The sequence below is a fragment of the Homo sapiens genome, chromosome 15 (genome assembly GCF_000001405.40).
Source record: "Homo sapiens chromosome 15, GRCh38.p14 Primary Assembly".
Lineage (NCBI taxonomy): Eukaryota > Metazoa > Chordata > Mammalia > Primates > Hominidae > Homo > Homo sapiens.
In genome coordinates this window covers 96,627,063-96,643,689 of record NC_000015.10, presented here as the reverse complement: position 1 = coordinate 96,643,689, position 16,627 = coordinate 96,627,063, and the positions used below count along the sequence as shown (strand labels likewise).

The following is a 16,627-nucleotide window of genomic DNA, read 5'->3' as shown; positions in this document are numbered from 1 at the left end:
ACCCTACCATTATTCAAATATTCACCAAATGTTTAATTCATGTACTTTTCATACTCCTTTTTTCTTTGGAAAATTTTCCTAGCTAGTTCCAATATATGTTCTATGTGAACTTAAAAATCTTTCTGCCTCATTCCTTACCCATCCTCCCAAAACACCAATTAGAATTTGAATTAGAATTATTTAAAACCTCTTAACTTGACAAAGTTTGATATTATATAGTAAAAATATTACTATTCTTTCGAATTTGTGTCTTGCTTTTGATCTTCGATAGGATTTTGAGGTTTTCTTCATTTAAATTCGGTGATTTCTTATGCAATTTTTGTCTTCAAATTTTTCTTCTTATTGTATTACTGTGAGTGCATTTTTTCTTTCATCTTTCAGCTAGTTATTGCTGTAATTGAGAAGCTATGAATATTTATCTCATCTTATTAATTTTAATTCATATTATTTTATTAATGCTACTAGATTTTAGTGGCTTTTCAAAGGTTTACCAAGTAAGCAATCATATCTTCTGCCAATAAAGATAACTTTATCTCTTCTTTTTCAATAATTAATTCAACTTATTTTGTTTTCTTGCTTTATTGTAACCTCCAAAAGGTGTTAAATAATAGAGGGTATCTATGCAATGCATTTGAATTTAAAATGATTTCAGTATTTCAACATACGATGCTTATTATTTGTTTTGACAAATGTATTTTCATCATATTTAATTAGATTATGCAAGAAATATTTTATTAGTAATAGTTGCTGAATTTTTGAAATTGTCTTTTTGGCATCTATTGATTAAATGAATTATATTTGTTGATATAATTAATTATGTTGGTAAAAGTCCGAATGTTGAATCCTTCTTGAATTTCTATTAGTCATGCTTTGTTATTCTTATAATATACTGCCGAATTCAATTTGCTAATACATTTTTTTATTTTTACAAGCAAAATTTCACTGTCTTATCATGTTTTGAAATTGAATTGCTGCTAGCTTCTTAACCTAGATTGAGAAACTTTGGTTTGGATCGGTAAAAAGCGCTGCTCCTCAAAATGCAATTTTCAGGTCAGTAGCACTTTCTAAACGTGCACTTTATCATGTTTCCCCAGCCCTACTAAATTAAAACCTAGAGTTAAACAAGATCCTCCGGCAGTGTGTAAATACATTAAAAATTTTAGAGCACTGGTGTAAATAACACAGTGATTATTCACTTTTTTCAAGTTATGTCACGCTAAGCTGAAAATCCATTTGGTTGTGTCACCTATTGGAAACTGGTAACTAGGTGATGGGTTGATAGGCACAGCAAACCACCATGGCACACATTTACCTGTGTAACAGATCTGCATGGCCTGCACATGTATCCCTGAAATTAAAATTAAATTAAATAAAAAAATACAACTGGTAGATTATTGTCTTCCCAAATTTTTCTTATATATCTGTTCAATCACTTTTCTACCTCTTCTTGAATCAAATTTGAATGTTGTATTTTGCTGGGTAATGTCATGCTTCCTCCAATTTTTCCCTACGAATACTTCAGATCTCAGTGTAGACATACTCATCACCGTGGACAGGATCCCCTCCCAACATCTGCAGCCCTGCCTCTGGCCTCTTGCTCCCTGCTCTGTTCACACTCTCTTCTTTGTCTGCCATCACACTTAGCATGTTTTATTATAATGTCTTATTTAACTGCCTTTCTCCTCTGGTAGACTATCAAATCCAAGAGGGTTAAGAACATGTCATTCTTGTTCATTTTTGTAGGGCTGGCACCAAGCACAATTCCTGACACATAATAGGCATTTCAGAAATATGCTGTGTGACAACTGGATGGATAGGTAGATGGGTAAGTAATATTCCTAAATGTAGTAACCGATATGTAATTATCTTTATATCACTTGCACATTTCATAGAGTCTAGCATGCTACACCCTTCCTGACACATACAGGACATTCAAATTGCCTTGTAAAATATAAAGTGTTTTGTAAACTGTAAGACGATGAAATGATGGTACTGGGGATATGACGATAAACAAAAAAGGCATCGTCTCCAGTTAAACCTACTCATCACAGTCTAGTAACTTAACTTTGTTTTCATTTTAATTTGCTTACTCATATAGTTTGGAGAATTTTGGAACTCCTCCTGTGTTTTCAACTTTCATACTCACTTCTGAAAATCAGCTGGGGCAGGAAATCATCACATAAAAGCATTGGTTTTCTCTTCGGAATCAGACAAAATAATTTAGTGCTAGAGAAAAAAAAGTAGATGTTCAAGCTTGACAAAGCAATTTCAAGTAAAAAAATAAAATGTAAATATGAAATAACAAAGCCAACTTACTTCTGGCACACACACAAAAATCGAAGTCAGTACTGAAAGAATAATTTTCTGAAATGTGTTGAACATGGAGCAAGTGTACAACCCCTGGAGAAGCATACATTGAGGGTCACCTTGAGGCACGGGGGAGTTCTAGTTTCTTTATTTGAACATTATCTCATTATTTTTCTTGGCATTTCCCAGTTCGTGTACGGATTGTTTCCAAATGGTGGTTTTAAAATCACTGTTTTATAATTCATATTATTGGTCCAATGAGGGATGTGTTGGGATCTCAAGACAAACCATAGGGAGTTATTGAGTGAATAGTAATGAAATCATGAAGCTGAGAGGGCTGGTCATGTCGGAATCTTTCTTTTGGTTATATGGATTCCCTGGACGAATACTGAAGTAGACACCTGTGTCAGTCAGGGTTCTTCAGAGAAACGGAGCCAATAGTGTATACATATGTGTGTATATTTATTAATTTATGTAAGGAATTGGCTCGTGATTCTGGGGGCTGGCAAATGTAATATCCATAAGGCAGGTCAGTAAAAAATCTCGGGCTAGTTCATGTTGCAGTTCTGATTCTGAAATTTGTAGGACAGACCAGCAAGCTGGAGACTCGGATAGGATTTATATGTTGCAACCAAGAGTCAGAGTTTCCTCTTCTCTGGGAAACCTCAGGCCTTGTTCTTAGACCTTGAACCAGTTAGATGATGGCCACCCACATTATCAAGGTCAGTCTCCTGTATTTAAAGTCAACAGATTATAGGTGTTAACCACATCTAAAAACTACCTTCACACCAATATCTAGACTAGTATTTGACCAGAAAAATGTACCACAGCATAGTCAAGTTAACATAAAAAATTAAGCCATCACCACAACCCTCTATGGATACTTGTCCCCATCCCACACATCCCACCCCGGCTTCAGACTGCTCTAAGACTTCCACATGCTCTCCCTATTCAAGCCTTTCTCAAATTTCTCTTGGACCTTACCCTCCCCCTCCCAAATAATCATTCTTTCAAAATGCAAAAGTTTTTTTTTTTTTTTAAAGCAATTTGGTCAGGCTAATTTGCCGTTATATGCAAGTGGTAGCTAGAATTTCAGAAATCAAAGTAAAAACTTGGTGCATTTTTGGAGTTGAGGAGAAGCAATTTATATTGGTCATTTGCAGTAAGCTAGAATCACAAAACACATTCCATGAGGATCTGGCGGGTAACAGAAGTGATTAAAGCGGGCTTAGTCTCGAACCATTGGTCCAGTGTTGAGAATGACAGTAAATCGGATAAGGCCTGGCTCAGCTCATCTTTCTCCAGTCTTTGCCACACGGGAGAGTCCAACACGGCTACAGTTTTCACTTTTTCAATAAAATCCACAAATCCACATTTGTAGGAGGCATTTCCCAATCATGAAAACGCCACGCAGGCTGCCAGTTCAAGACTCTATCCCTTATTTTTTCTTTGCCATCTCATTCTTTCCTGTAATTCTGAGTTCTTTCATAATCTGAAAGTTCAGTTTCCAAGTGTAACTCATCTGGAGAGAAGGAAAAGAGAGGAGGAAGACAGAAAGACTATACCTACGGCTCATTTGTCCAAAGCCAGGTGCTTCAAAGTTAGGGATTTTTTTTTGGTAAAGTCCTTCCCTGTACACCAGAGCCTGGTAGGCCTTGGCCATGCCTGTGGGGTTTGTTAATCAGGCATTTCTTCTCATAAGTTTTCACTCATTTTGAAAAGCCTAACTTCTCCTAGCAACATGCAGTTCATTGGACAACAAAATTAATGATTAATGATAACAGCACTTCTTCTGGACCTTGACACAAGGGATACTACACCTGAGATACTCAGAGAATAATCACATGATCCTAATCGGACTAGCTTCAGAAAGGAAGACAGAATGAGAAGCCATGGCCATCTTATTATTTGTCTATTTCTACAGGCAGAGATGTTTCTACACCTCTTTATTTATGTTTATTAAGGAAAATGCAAAGATTACTCAAGATGGAAAGGGTCCTTGCAACTCTCATGGGAGTGGATTTCTCCTGATTCACTTCTCTGTCCGCTATGGTTTGACATCTCTCCATAGTCTCTGAGCTACTTAAAGTGATGCTTCTATCTCTTCAGTCTGCATAAGATTCACCTGGGGGTGCTTAAGGATGCAGCTTCCCAGACCACACTCCAGAGACCCTGAGCCAATACACTTCAGGAATCTGCAGTTTAAAAGTGCACCAGATAAGGTGAACCAAGGATCCAACCTAAAGAACACTGCCCTAAGGGAAGGAAAATGGAATATGATGGGAAAAGACTAAGGGGGAATCTCTTCTAAATTGGAGACTCTACTTCAATAATAATAAGTGATGATTGGCAGTTTATCTAAGAGTTACAAGGAAACCATGTGTGTAAAACTCATTCAGTTGTCTTCTGTTAATTGGGAGGCAAAGAAAAGACTTCCATGACAATTGGATTCCATGCCTTCAGTGGAACTCTGAACACTTTCACAAAAGATTGTAATGGGGAAATATGCCCTGCCATAGCCAATTATCCAGAGTGTGTCTGCTCAGTGGTCAAGCGGAGAAGTTCACATACTGTTATTTATCTCTCCCCACACACCTAAATTCATTCTCTAAAGAATCGAAGAAGACTCACCAGGCCTTTGAATAAAAAGAGTGATGCAGTATTTAAGTGGGATTTGAATTGAATTCCAAGTCTTCATAGATAAATGATTAAAAACATACTGTTCTCTATTTGCTACCTGAGATAAACAACTGCAGACACACCTACCCAGAAGTTCAGCTGCTATGGAGCATCCAGGAAAACACAGTGTCTGTTTCTGAGGGATTTGTGTGTACCTGACAGTCAAATACTCTGTTCTCTGTAATGCCTGTAGGTAAACTGTTTATAATCTTAGAAACTTGTTAGCATGCTTGCTGCAAATGATCATGTCTCAGTGGCATATCTGAAAGGCTATGGGACTAAAGGCCCTAGAGTCCTGCTACAATGAAAGACTTGGCTTATTTATGGAAAGAAAAGCATTTGAGGCAACTAAGATTAGCAACTTACTGTGTCTGGAATGCAATGTTTTTTATCATGCTCTTCTGAAAGTCATATATACATGGTGTGCTTAATGCAATAATTTATTAAATAGTGGGCCATTTTTCATTCCTTGTCTGCAGTGACTGATAACATTTGCCACTTTAAATCATGAAATTGGAGAATAAGAGGAATGAGCCCTGCTTAAGCTTTCTGATGTTTAAAAAGTCTTCACGCAGACAGCCTCAACCTAACGCACACTGAAATAATCTGGAATGCTTTTTTTAAAAAAACATTTAGGCTGGGCGTGGTGGCTCACGCCTGTAATCCCAGCACTTTGGGAAGCCAAGGCAGGCGGATCACCTGAGGTCAGGAGTTCGAGACTAGCCTGACTAACATGGTGAAACCCCATCTCTACTAAAAATACAAAAATTAGCTGGGCATGGTGGTGGGTGCCTGTCGTCTCAGCTACTCGGGAGGCTGAGGCAGGAGAATCGCTTGAACCCGGGAGGCAGAGGTTGCAGTGAGCCAAGATCGTGCCACCGCACTCCAGCCTGGTAACAGAGCAAGACTCCGTCAAAAATAATAATAATAATAATAATAATAATAATAATAGTTTCAGCCCCAGCCTAGACCATGAAATCAGAAACCCCAGTGCTGACTAGGTAATTTTAAACCCCCTTATTTGAGGTATTCCAGGGCAGCCCTGGTGGTGAGCCACTGGCAATTATATACATTCAAACTCATGCTGATGGGTTGCCTTGCAAGTAAGACCACCTTTGAGACGGTCCCCTTTTGGAAGACACCTTAATAGCTAGATATCTGAAGCACTTCATATCAAATTCTGTGCCATATTGAAGAGCCAAAGTGAGGGTTCACTAAGAAAGAGTAGATAGTAAAACAGTAAGTAAGAGGTCATTCTGACCTACAGCCAACAATCGCACTTTTATTTGAGTGATTCACTTTCTAGGGATTATTTTGAAATATAAGAATCCACAGGTTTAGTTTGTATCTTTAGATGGAGGAAAAAAAAAACCCTAAGTGGAGTCTCAGTTAAGTTAAACAAATGTCATATCCTTCTTCTAGCTAAACAAGGACTCCGCCACCGCCCCCACCCACCTGCCATTATCATAGAATGGAAGAAGCAATGGCATAAGTTATTTTGTAACCCATGCGCAGGTCATTTAGAAAGTACTCTTCATACGTTTTCTCTGTTAGAGTCTGCAGCTAGTTGTCTGTATTAATTGCTAAGCAACAGGTTGGAAGTGTAGTTTTATCAAGGGTTAGAGAGCCACAACGAAAACTGGAACAAAATCAGCCACACATATTTGCACTACCTTGGTACCCAGGCAAGGTGCTCAACAAACACTAGTTGACAGCTCCTCTCTTCCCAGTGAGCCTTAGTTAAGATTTAGAAGGGATGAGGGGGAAAAGAAGAAAAAAAGCTGTCTAATAAACTGCCCAAGTACACTTGCATGCATCCTGGAGAACTCAGGCTACAAAGAAAATAAATCTACTCTTTCAAATTCGAGTCAAAGCCTACATTCGCCCCCCAAGGAACCTCAATTATAACAGGGGGTCCTTCTTTTTATGTTCTCCCATAAGGAAAAATTACCACAAATTTTGTTTGGAAGTTCTCATAGTCTTTCGTTTAGTGTTCTATTCTAAAGAGAGTAAGTTACACACGATCCGAAAAATCTCCAGATGTTTACACAACTAAAAGTAAAAGAAATTGCTGAATCTTTTGTGCCGCTCCAAAACCCAAACTTGACCTTCCAGCAGGTGGGGTCTAGTTTTCTCAGAGGTCTGTGGAGGCAATGCATCCAGGCTGCTTGGGCCAAAAGGGGCTCCAGTCAAGCATGGGACCCTGGAGGGAGGCAGAGTCCCATTGCATCAAGGGTGAGCTTCCTCCAGGAGCGGCTGCACTAGGCTGCCACAGGAGTTGATCCACGTTCATGGACTATAGCATTCTTCTCATGGTTCCTCCCTCTCCAGGGTTCAGGTCTCAGCTCAGAAATTATCTCCCAGAACACGCTCTCCCTGTGTTCGCAGCACATCAGCCTGCCATTCCCTTCATGGCCTTCCCCTCTATCTGCCGATGCCTGGTCTGTTTGTTCACTCATTTATCATTGCTGTCCCTTCCCAACCATAAGAAGAGTAATTAAAGGAGAGACTTTGTGTGTTCTGCTCACTGCCATATCCTCAGTCCCTAGCACAGTGCCAGCTTTAATGGATACTCAGTAAATACTAAATGAAGGAAGGAAGGAGTAAACAAAGGCAGGGATCAGTAAGTGATTAGCACATCGTTGTATAAGACACACTTTGTTGTGTAATGGTCCAGTTTATCTCAAAATCATCAGAATCCTGAGGTCTGCATTCGAATTCGTTTTGTAACATTTTTCACTCTGAAAGGTACACTAAGTGACCGTTTGTAAATAAGCCTCTTAAAACAGGCGATCTTCATATTCTTTGGGTCACGGATGCCTTTGAAAATAGAATAAAAGGTGAGGTGAACACACATGATTTTGTTGGACTCCTTGGAAACAAGGTCAGTGGTTACTAATAAAGAACAGAACTCCTGAAGATCAAAACCACGTCTTACCTCTAAGACTGGGCTTCCCAGTGGGTGGAAGAGCTGCCAAACAGTGTCTTGGAGCTCCACATAGACTCCTGGCTCCAGAGATGCCACAGCTGAAACAGAAGTGGTGTGAGAGGGCTCAGAGGTCAGCTGTTCTGGGGAGTAAGGAGTAACTATAAACTGAGGTCCCTGCCGGGGGAACAAGCACAAGGTCATATTTCTTGGAAAATATATTTGGCAGGAAGAGAGCAACGCTTCAGTATCTTAAGTCCCTAAAATAACTCAGATCAAATTGGTAGCTATTTCTTCCCAAAATTTACAAAATATTGTTACAAAAAGGGGTACGTTGGTATTAATTTTATGTTACTGATGAATATGAAATGTAGTTTTCAAGTCACCAATATTTTTGGAGTTCTAATGATCCTCCCCTGTTTTTCTTATGCAAATTGGCATTCCAGTTTGCAGATAGGTAATAATCAGATGGCTGTCTAAAGATCTCCACAGTTTAAACAAGTTCATTGCCATTCTTGTCTCTCCTTTGATCAGATGTATAATTTTTGTGATTGCTATGCAATCTAGAATTTAAAAGTGTTCCCAGCTTCATGTGAGGATCCATCTGAGTTTTTTCTTTTCCTTTTTTAAAGTTTGTACAGATTTAAAGGGTACAAGTGCAGTTTTGTACTCTTTGGGATACACTGTGTAGTGATGAAGTTCGGGCTTTTATTGTAGTCATCACCCAAATAATGTCTATTGTACCCAATAAGTATTAAATTTCTCATCATCCACTCCCCTACCACTTCGCACAGTGTCTGTCATTCCATACTCAAAGTCCACGTGTACATTAAGTGAGGATATGTTGTATTTGTCTTTCTGTTTCTGAGCTGTTCCATTTAAGATAAGTGGATGGCCTCCAGTTCCATCCCTGTTTCTGCAAAAGACATGATTTCATTTTTATGACTGAATAGTATTCCAGTGTGTGTGTGTGTGTGTGTGTGTGTGTGTGTGTGTCTGTCTGTCTGTCTGTGTGTGTGTGTGTGTGTGTATATATATATATATATATATATAGCAACATAAAAATATCAGGCTAAAAGGAGCATCGGTAGAAATTCAGTTGCTAATTAACAAGGAATTAGATGGAAAGGTGACCTCAAACACATCAACAAGATTAGCACATCATTGTATAAGACACACTTTGTTGTGTTTTTCTCTTTACATGCACACACACACACACACACACACTGTCAGTTTTAAAGACAGTGGAATGTGTGCCAAATTTCCTGTAACTAGATTCTATTTTGATGGTTTCATCCTTTTCATTTTTACAGCCCATTGTTTTCTAGAGTCCCAAATCTGATTCTGAAAGTCATTTAACTTTACCTTCAAAGATTTCAAAACTGATCTGTTTCTGATACATCCATCCAAGTTTCATCCAATGAGGCAAAGCCAGACACATATAACCTAATCTTGCTCCAGCTTACATGATGAGCTCCACGACAGTGGCAGTGAGGAACTCATGCCAAATCCAGTGGTTGCCACCAGAATCCCGTGGTGGAAGCTTGACTTAAGAAGGAAATCCCGTCAGATTCTCTGGCTTTCCAGCTATCTGTCTCTCTGTTAATGTCCTGACTGGTTTAACAAGCATGTAAAGCAGATGCTATATTTGCCTTTACGGTTTCTCTATGGAAAAAAAATCCAGTGAACGTTTTCTTCAGTTCTAAACCAGTTTTTTTTTACAATGCAGGTGCAGAGAGCTCCTCCTAAAAGCAAACAGTATTTTCAATTAGCTAAATATTTAGTCAGTCTACTACTCTAGTGAAAAAGGAGGTGGCTGTATTCTATATAAACTCATTCCTGTGTAGATCTCGAATGTATGTCTACTGTAGCTGGGTCATTTTGCTGTGCTGGAGGATACATTTTTTCCAGCCTCTGCAGCAGGATAGAATGCTTTTCATCTCAGAATAGTTTCTATCACACACACACACACACACACACACACACAAACATGTTTATTTTTTATTTTTTGTTATACTTTTAGGGTACATGTGCACATTGTGCAGGTTAGTTACATATGTATACATGTGCCATGCTGGTGCGCTGCACCCACTAACTCGTCATCTAGCATTAGGTATATCTCCCAATGCTATCCCTCCCCCCTCCCCCCACCCCACCACAGTCCCCAGAGTGTGATATTCCCCTTCCTGTGTCCATGTGATCTCATTGTTCAATTCCTACCTATGAGTGAGAATATGCGGTGTTTGGTTTTTTGTTCTTGCGATAGTTTACTGAGAATGATGATTTCCAATTTCATCCATGTCCCTACAAAGGACATGAACTCATCATTTTTTATGGCTGCATAGTATTCCATGGTGTATATGTGACACATTTTCTTAATCCAGTCTATCATTGTTGGACATTTGGGTTGGTTCCAAGTCTTTGCTATTGTGAATAATGCCGCAATAAACATACGTGTGCATGTGTCTTTATAGCAGCAAGATTTATAGTCCTTTGGGTATATACCCAGTTTAATATTAAGCACCTAAGCAACAAGCACTGATATGCAGGAGTTTATGCTCAGAAGTAGCTTAATGGGAAATTACAGGCTACCCTGAAAGGCAACAAACAAATCACAAAAATAAAGTGATGAAATGAGTGTCACACTTAAAAAGTCAGCTCTCCCAATATGAGACTTCTCCCCATTGTGCAGAACCGTTGTGGCCTCTCTCCAACAGAGAAATATTCTAAGGCAATTTCTCTAACAGTTTGGGTTGTATATGTCTAGAATGAGACCTGAGCAATCTGGACATAGGATAAAATATGATATGAAATTGTCTGTGTTCAGACCTTGACTCTTCCACTTTCCGGCTGTGTGACATTGGCCAAGTGATTTCAGTTCTCCGTGACTCAATCTTCACACCTGTAAAATGGGACTAATAATAGCGCCTTCCTCACAAGGGTGGTTGTAAAGATTAGTATCTCTAAAGGGTTTAGACAAGTGCCTAGCACATGACAAGTGCTATTAAGCATTAGATATTATTTTTCTACAAAGTGAATATTTGTTCAATGAATGAATGAATAAATTGATTTGGTCTTTTCTTGTGATCCAAGTAGGATTAACTATAATAAATCACATTTTATAAACAGAAAAAGTGAGTCAAAGTGTACTTTATGGTGTTTATTGGTCCCTCCAGAAAGAGACTTTGCTCCTCCTGGATGGAAGTACCTTGACTAAGGTCACAGAGACAAATTAGAAGCACAGTCAGAACTGGAAATCTCTGCAGTGCCAAGGCTAAGACCATGGCACTGTGGCTCCCCGAAGTCCAAGCATTCTGTTTTCCTACCTCAATTTCACCTTCTCTACTTGTAAATAACCCTGATCAAATTGCTCATCAAGCAATCATTTCTCTCTATGATTCAACCAGGAAATCTGAATTTGATTCATTTCTGAAATCATGAATTTGATTAATTTCTGGAAACACACAGTCATGAATAGATTGCAGTCTCATTGAGTCTCATGCTTGCTTTTCAAGTTTGGCTTTTTAAAATCAGATTACATTATAGCTTTAAATTAATGTTTCCTGATTGATTAAGAATAGATTGTTTTCTGCCTGTACTGTGACTTCAAGGAAATAATGATTGATATGATCCACAATGGAATACATGACGATTAGAACTTTTTTTAAAGTGAAAAACTCCCTACATGAAAAGATAAAAGTACACGTATAGTTATTTCTTTACATGTATATTATTTAGAATCCAAATAGAAACTTGAAATCTAAGCATGGTGGTTTATTGTTTGACTGTAGTTTCTTATCTGTTTAGGAATGGAGGTGTACAACTGTTTGTTTTGGGAAGGTATGTTAAGACGATGTGCCATTTGCTTCAATTCTGAGCCAAAAAATAAACTCTGATCACATCCATATCTCCAGGCTGCCCAGAGCAAGGAATGAATTTCAAGAAGTTGTGAAAGTTAAGAATCACCCATGGCATTTTTCCTTTTAACTCTGCACATCTAGACTAAAATCCTGGAAAAGAGAGGAATTCCAGACATGTATATTCATGAGTATGTGAATGAAATGCCAACTTCAAGATCAAGGAATTAACCCAGAACTTGACACGGACAATCTTAGCACACGATGTGATTTGATCTTATCTCCAAACATGTTTTAAAATATATTTTGCTATCAACTAATTAGTGGATTACCCTCAGAAAGAAGAAAGGAAACTTATACCTATAAGCTTTCTCTACAGTTATTTTGCTAAGGCTTCAAGTATTAACAGAGCATATGAGGTAAATTAATTACAGTTTTTCAAGCATAAAATAAATTCATGAAAGATAGTTTAAAAGTTGATAGTATTTTGGCATCTCAAATTTGGGAGCGCTCTGGTTATTTCTCTATCTAGGCGAATGAATGAAGAAATCTACACGCACATGGGGCCAGCGTTTTGAAAGAGAGCATTTCTAACGGCATGTGAGATTTTGCACCTGTAATTATTTTGGGGTACAAAATTGGCTACACCAATAATTGCTTCTATAAACAGCTAATTGTAGCTGCTGTTAGCCACTTGTGGGTGTAATTAGCTGCTTGCCCTTAATCTTCATGGAATGCCCAATTCTCCCTGTAATTAGTCAATTGTAGACGCTGTTTCTTTCACAAGACAGGAAAGACTGTGGGTTATCTCCTTTAAAATATTTTATAGAAAATCTTTAAATTTGAATATCAATTTATGGCAAATGTGAACAGAAATAATTCCACCTTATAAAATGAATTGGAAGTAGTTTTAGTTTCCCCACCCGTGTCTTAGGGACTACAGGCTGAACACTGCTGCAGGGATGCATTTATTTACAACAAAATGAATTATTACTGTCTATGTATTATGAACTGGTGTTATTATTTTTATTTTTTTAAATTTTACTTCTACTGGAAATGCATATAAAATGTTCAAATATCTCAGGGCAATTACATAACAGAATCCTGCTATAAAGGGCTTCAACATTTAGAAAGTTTGTTTACACCATGGACTTCTAAAGCTTACTAAAATCAGAGGCAGAACTTAGGAAAGTCTGTATTAAAACTGTGTTAGCTGCATGGCTTTGGGCGTGCTGTTTAACTTCTCTAATCTCAGTATTCTCTTCTGTAAAGTGGAAACAATCATTCTTCCACTTCTGGAGGTGGTTGTGAAAATCGTAGGAACAGTTGCTGATCTTAATGTAGCAAGCAAAATTTAGTTCTTCATAGTCATTGTAAAGCATAGCATCTTTCTCCCTGTAATGTTAAAATGTGGCTTTTATATTTGCTCCTCAAATAGGAAGATACCATTAGAAATAACATTTTTTCTAACCATTTCCTGCTTTCTTGCTTATGAATCTTCAGAATGGTGATCTTTTTTAAAAATAGAAAAGCATAAATATTTGAAAGTGGCAAATTTTAGTAGTGTATAATTAATTTTAAGATGCTATATTGATGTAATGGTTGCATATATGTTATATATTGTAACATAATGTATATATAAATATAAATTAGTACTATGTCAGTAGCATCACTCTCTAAAATGTTGCAAGTAATTCTTAGAATTCTAATCCTAAGAGCATCTTATGAGTCCCAATTAAAGAGTAAGATAGCATATGGAAAACTGGCCAGGATATCAGTTGTGGGGCTGCCAACAGAACCCCAGTCCTCAGGCCATATCTAGCCTGTTGGTCTTATACTACCAGCATTTTCTGATTATTTAACTACAGAAGAAAAACTCTAAAGTATTTTACTACTCCTGGGGTAATTTCAAACATAGCTTTAAATGATAATGATTTTGGCATAAATCATTCTCTGCACAAAAGATGGTATATATCCTGATTATTATGTGAGCCTTTGTGTGTCTGTGCATGTGTGAGAGTGTGTGTGTGTGCATGTCTGTGTGGATATATGAGTGAATAATGTTGTCATAAAATAGACTGGAAGCTTTGGGAGCTTGAAGCAATATCTTTCTTCACTAAACTGCTTTATTACTGCCATTCCCTCCCTCCTGGGCATGCAGTCAGCTGAGACTAGGCCAAATTGGCAGTCATTTTCAGAGAGCCTGGCAGGCCCGTGATCTCTGGGAGTTCCGGGGCTGCATTTCCTTCTCAACCAACCCTTCCAAGGGTCAGTAGCCACCCTGACTCCCGGGCTCCAGCTCGCCCATACTGGGACATGAGTCAGGACCAATATAAATTTATATCTTAAAGTCATACTGTGAAGGCATGCTCTACCCCCTGAGGTATTTTCATAGTGACAGTTCTCTTTCTGACTGCTTTCCTAATCCTCTAACTTCATAGCACATCATGCCAGAATTCTTATAAGTGGCCAGAAGGAAGAAGGCTCTTTGGTGACCAAGGGGTTAACTTGATAATATAGTTTTTCTTAAAAAAAAATAATTTGGGGAGATGTGTTGACTGTTGATAAGCAGACCTGAAATAATAATAGCAGAGGCTGCTTATCACGGGCAGGCAATAGTTCTATGACAATGTTCCAGCTGATGAAAAAAATGGGAACAAAAATTAATAGTGACAGTACCGGGAGAAACAAGCCACAAATTCGATACTAAGTCATAAAATACAGAGTAACCCAATAAACACATGCTACTGTTATTATATTAATATTGTTAAAAATATCATAACATTTTAAAAATGGAATAGAGGTGAAAGAACACTTTTTTTAGAGGTAATTTTCACTCGTTGTGGCTTAGAGGCAGAGGAATTTTTTTTTTCTTTTACTAAACATACTAAAACTCTAGCTTGGGTAGCATAGTCAAGAACCTGACTTAGAAACAGAGCAAACACCGGATGATCACATTTCTTCTCCAAAGGAGGGATGGAAGATGGAACTACCATTTATTGAGGGATTTTTTAAATGAAGCAAGCACTTCGTATTTGTAATGTCAACGCATTATACAAATAATATTTGAGGCAGGACTTCTTTTTCACATTTTTGAACTAAGAACAGTTAAGGACATTGTCCGAAGCAACACAACTAGTAGGTGGCAGAGTTGAAATACAAATCGAAGGCTGTCTGGATTCCAAATTTATAAATCAGATGTTACAAGGACCAGAGCCTTAAGTATAGAAGAGACAAAAAGAGGGGGTCGGCTGTGACCCCCTCAGGGAACGTTGGGCCCATCTAATCAGCGCTGCTGGCACACAGTGACAGCTGACTGTTATCACTTCTAGACTGGCTGATTTTTCCAGATAAGCCAAGAATCTAGATTCTCATGTGAAGCCTCACTTTTTAACCATGAGCATAAAGGAATCAGGCTGGGTCCCTTGAATTGCCCAATGGCTGACTTTTGAGATGTTGTCCTCTCAAGTCCTTATTCTTACCACCACTCCACACTTTTCCCACAAAAACAAAAACAAAAAAAACAGGCAAAGTTGTTTTGGAGATCTTTTTGAGGATTTTTGATTAATGCCTGTTTCACTTTAGATATTTGTCCTTCAAGAAGTACTTTCATTCTAGACTCTCTTAGCCTAATATTGTGTCTTTCCCCTCTAGAAATCCCTAATCATGTCACAAATATTAACTGCAGTCCAGTGAGAAGTGCATTGTCATGTAGAAAAGGAGAACACTAGTTACTGAGAAAGTTTCAAATCTGGTCCTCATCATTGGAGTTTTATTGCCTTTGAGAAGCTTGCATCAGTTGCTTGACTTGTAAAATGTAAAAGATCAATAATGAAAAGAAGTCCTTCTTAGAAAGCATAAAGGACTTTAGCATTCTTATTTCCAATTGGTGAAATAGATACAATGAGGTCATTTGACTAGACCAAGTGTGTGCACTCACTAAACATGTACACAAAACTGAGTGTTCTACACTCTTGCCCAGATTTCTGGAAATGAATTTGATGATGGTGACCCTCAAATCGATGTGCCAAAGCTGGCTAAATAAAAGGTCCTTTAGTATCCAGAGCCCCTTATTTGCCCAGCTTGAATATGACCAACATGACATATCAAATTAGATGTCTGTATAAATTTCAGAAAATCACACTGGATTTATGAAGACTAATTTGCTAATGTTTTTAATCTCCCGATGGCTAGCCTTGTAAATAACAGAAATGAGTTCACTGCCGGCTACACATTTTATTTCCATTTCTGGTTGTTTTCTTCCCCCTTTATTTCAGCCCTCTGTGTGTGATAGGCTTTCATTCTCGACAAGACATCAGAACTTGACTTAATAGGCAGCAGGGGTAAAATCGCCAGCTCTTTACATGTAGGGAATCCTGAGGTACATACAAGCCTCGCTCTAAGATGTGATAACGTAATCTAAAGCCAGGCCCAGCCTGTCAGTTCAGGTCTAAAGGGATTTGATTCAGTGTCAGAACCTTTGGCTCACAAGGTCACTTTCTGTTCTTGCTTTTCTTATAACAAAAGCAGGAAGGGGGGGGCGGTGCGGTGATTCTGGGGTGTGTGTGTGTGTATGTATGTGTGTGTGCTTGCACGCGTGTGCATGCACACGTGTTTTTTCAAGCCTTGCGAATTCCTCAGCTGCTGTTTGTTGAGCACAGGGCCTTTATTTCGGCCTCCTGAAACATTTTCATTAGACAGGAGCCTCTGAAGTATGCTCGAGACGTGGATAGTGCAACTAAAAATCGTAGGCCTCTCCAGAAGCAGCCTGATTGAAATCAGCACTGTGTCAGGGCCTGTCATATCTCAGAAAAGACATAAAACACACGGAAACATCAATAAGCAACAAGCTTCTGAC

General features: G+C 38.3%; 1 annotated feature.

The window, feature by feature from the left end:
* Positions 16,085-16,285: a silencer, noted in NCBI's record as "peak2435 fragment used in MPRA reporter construct". NCBI's record gives its function as "represses an SCP1 promoter by STARR-seq MPRAs in K562 erythroleukemia cells {active_cell/tissue: K562}" and the evidence as "EXISTENCE:reporter gene assay evidence [ECO:0000049][PMID:32103011]".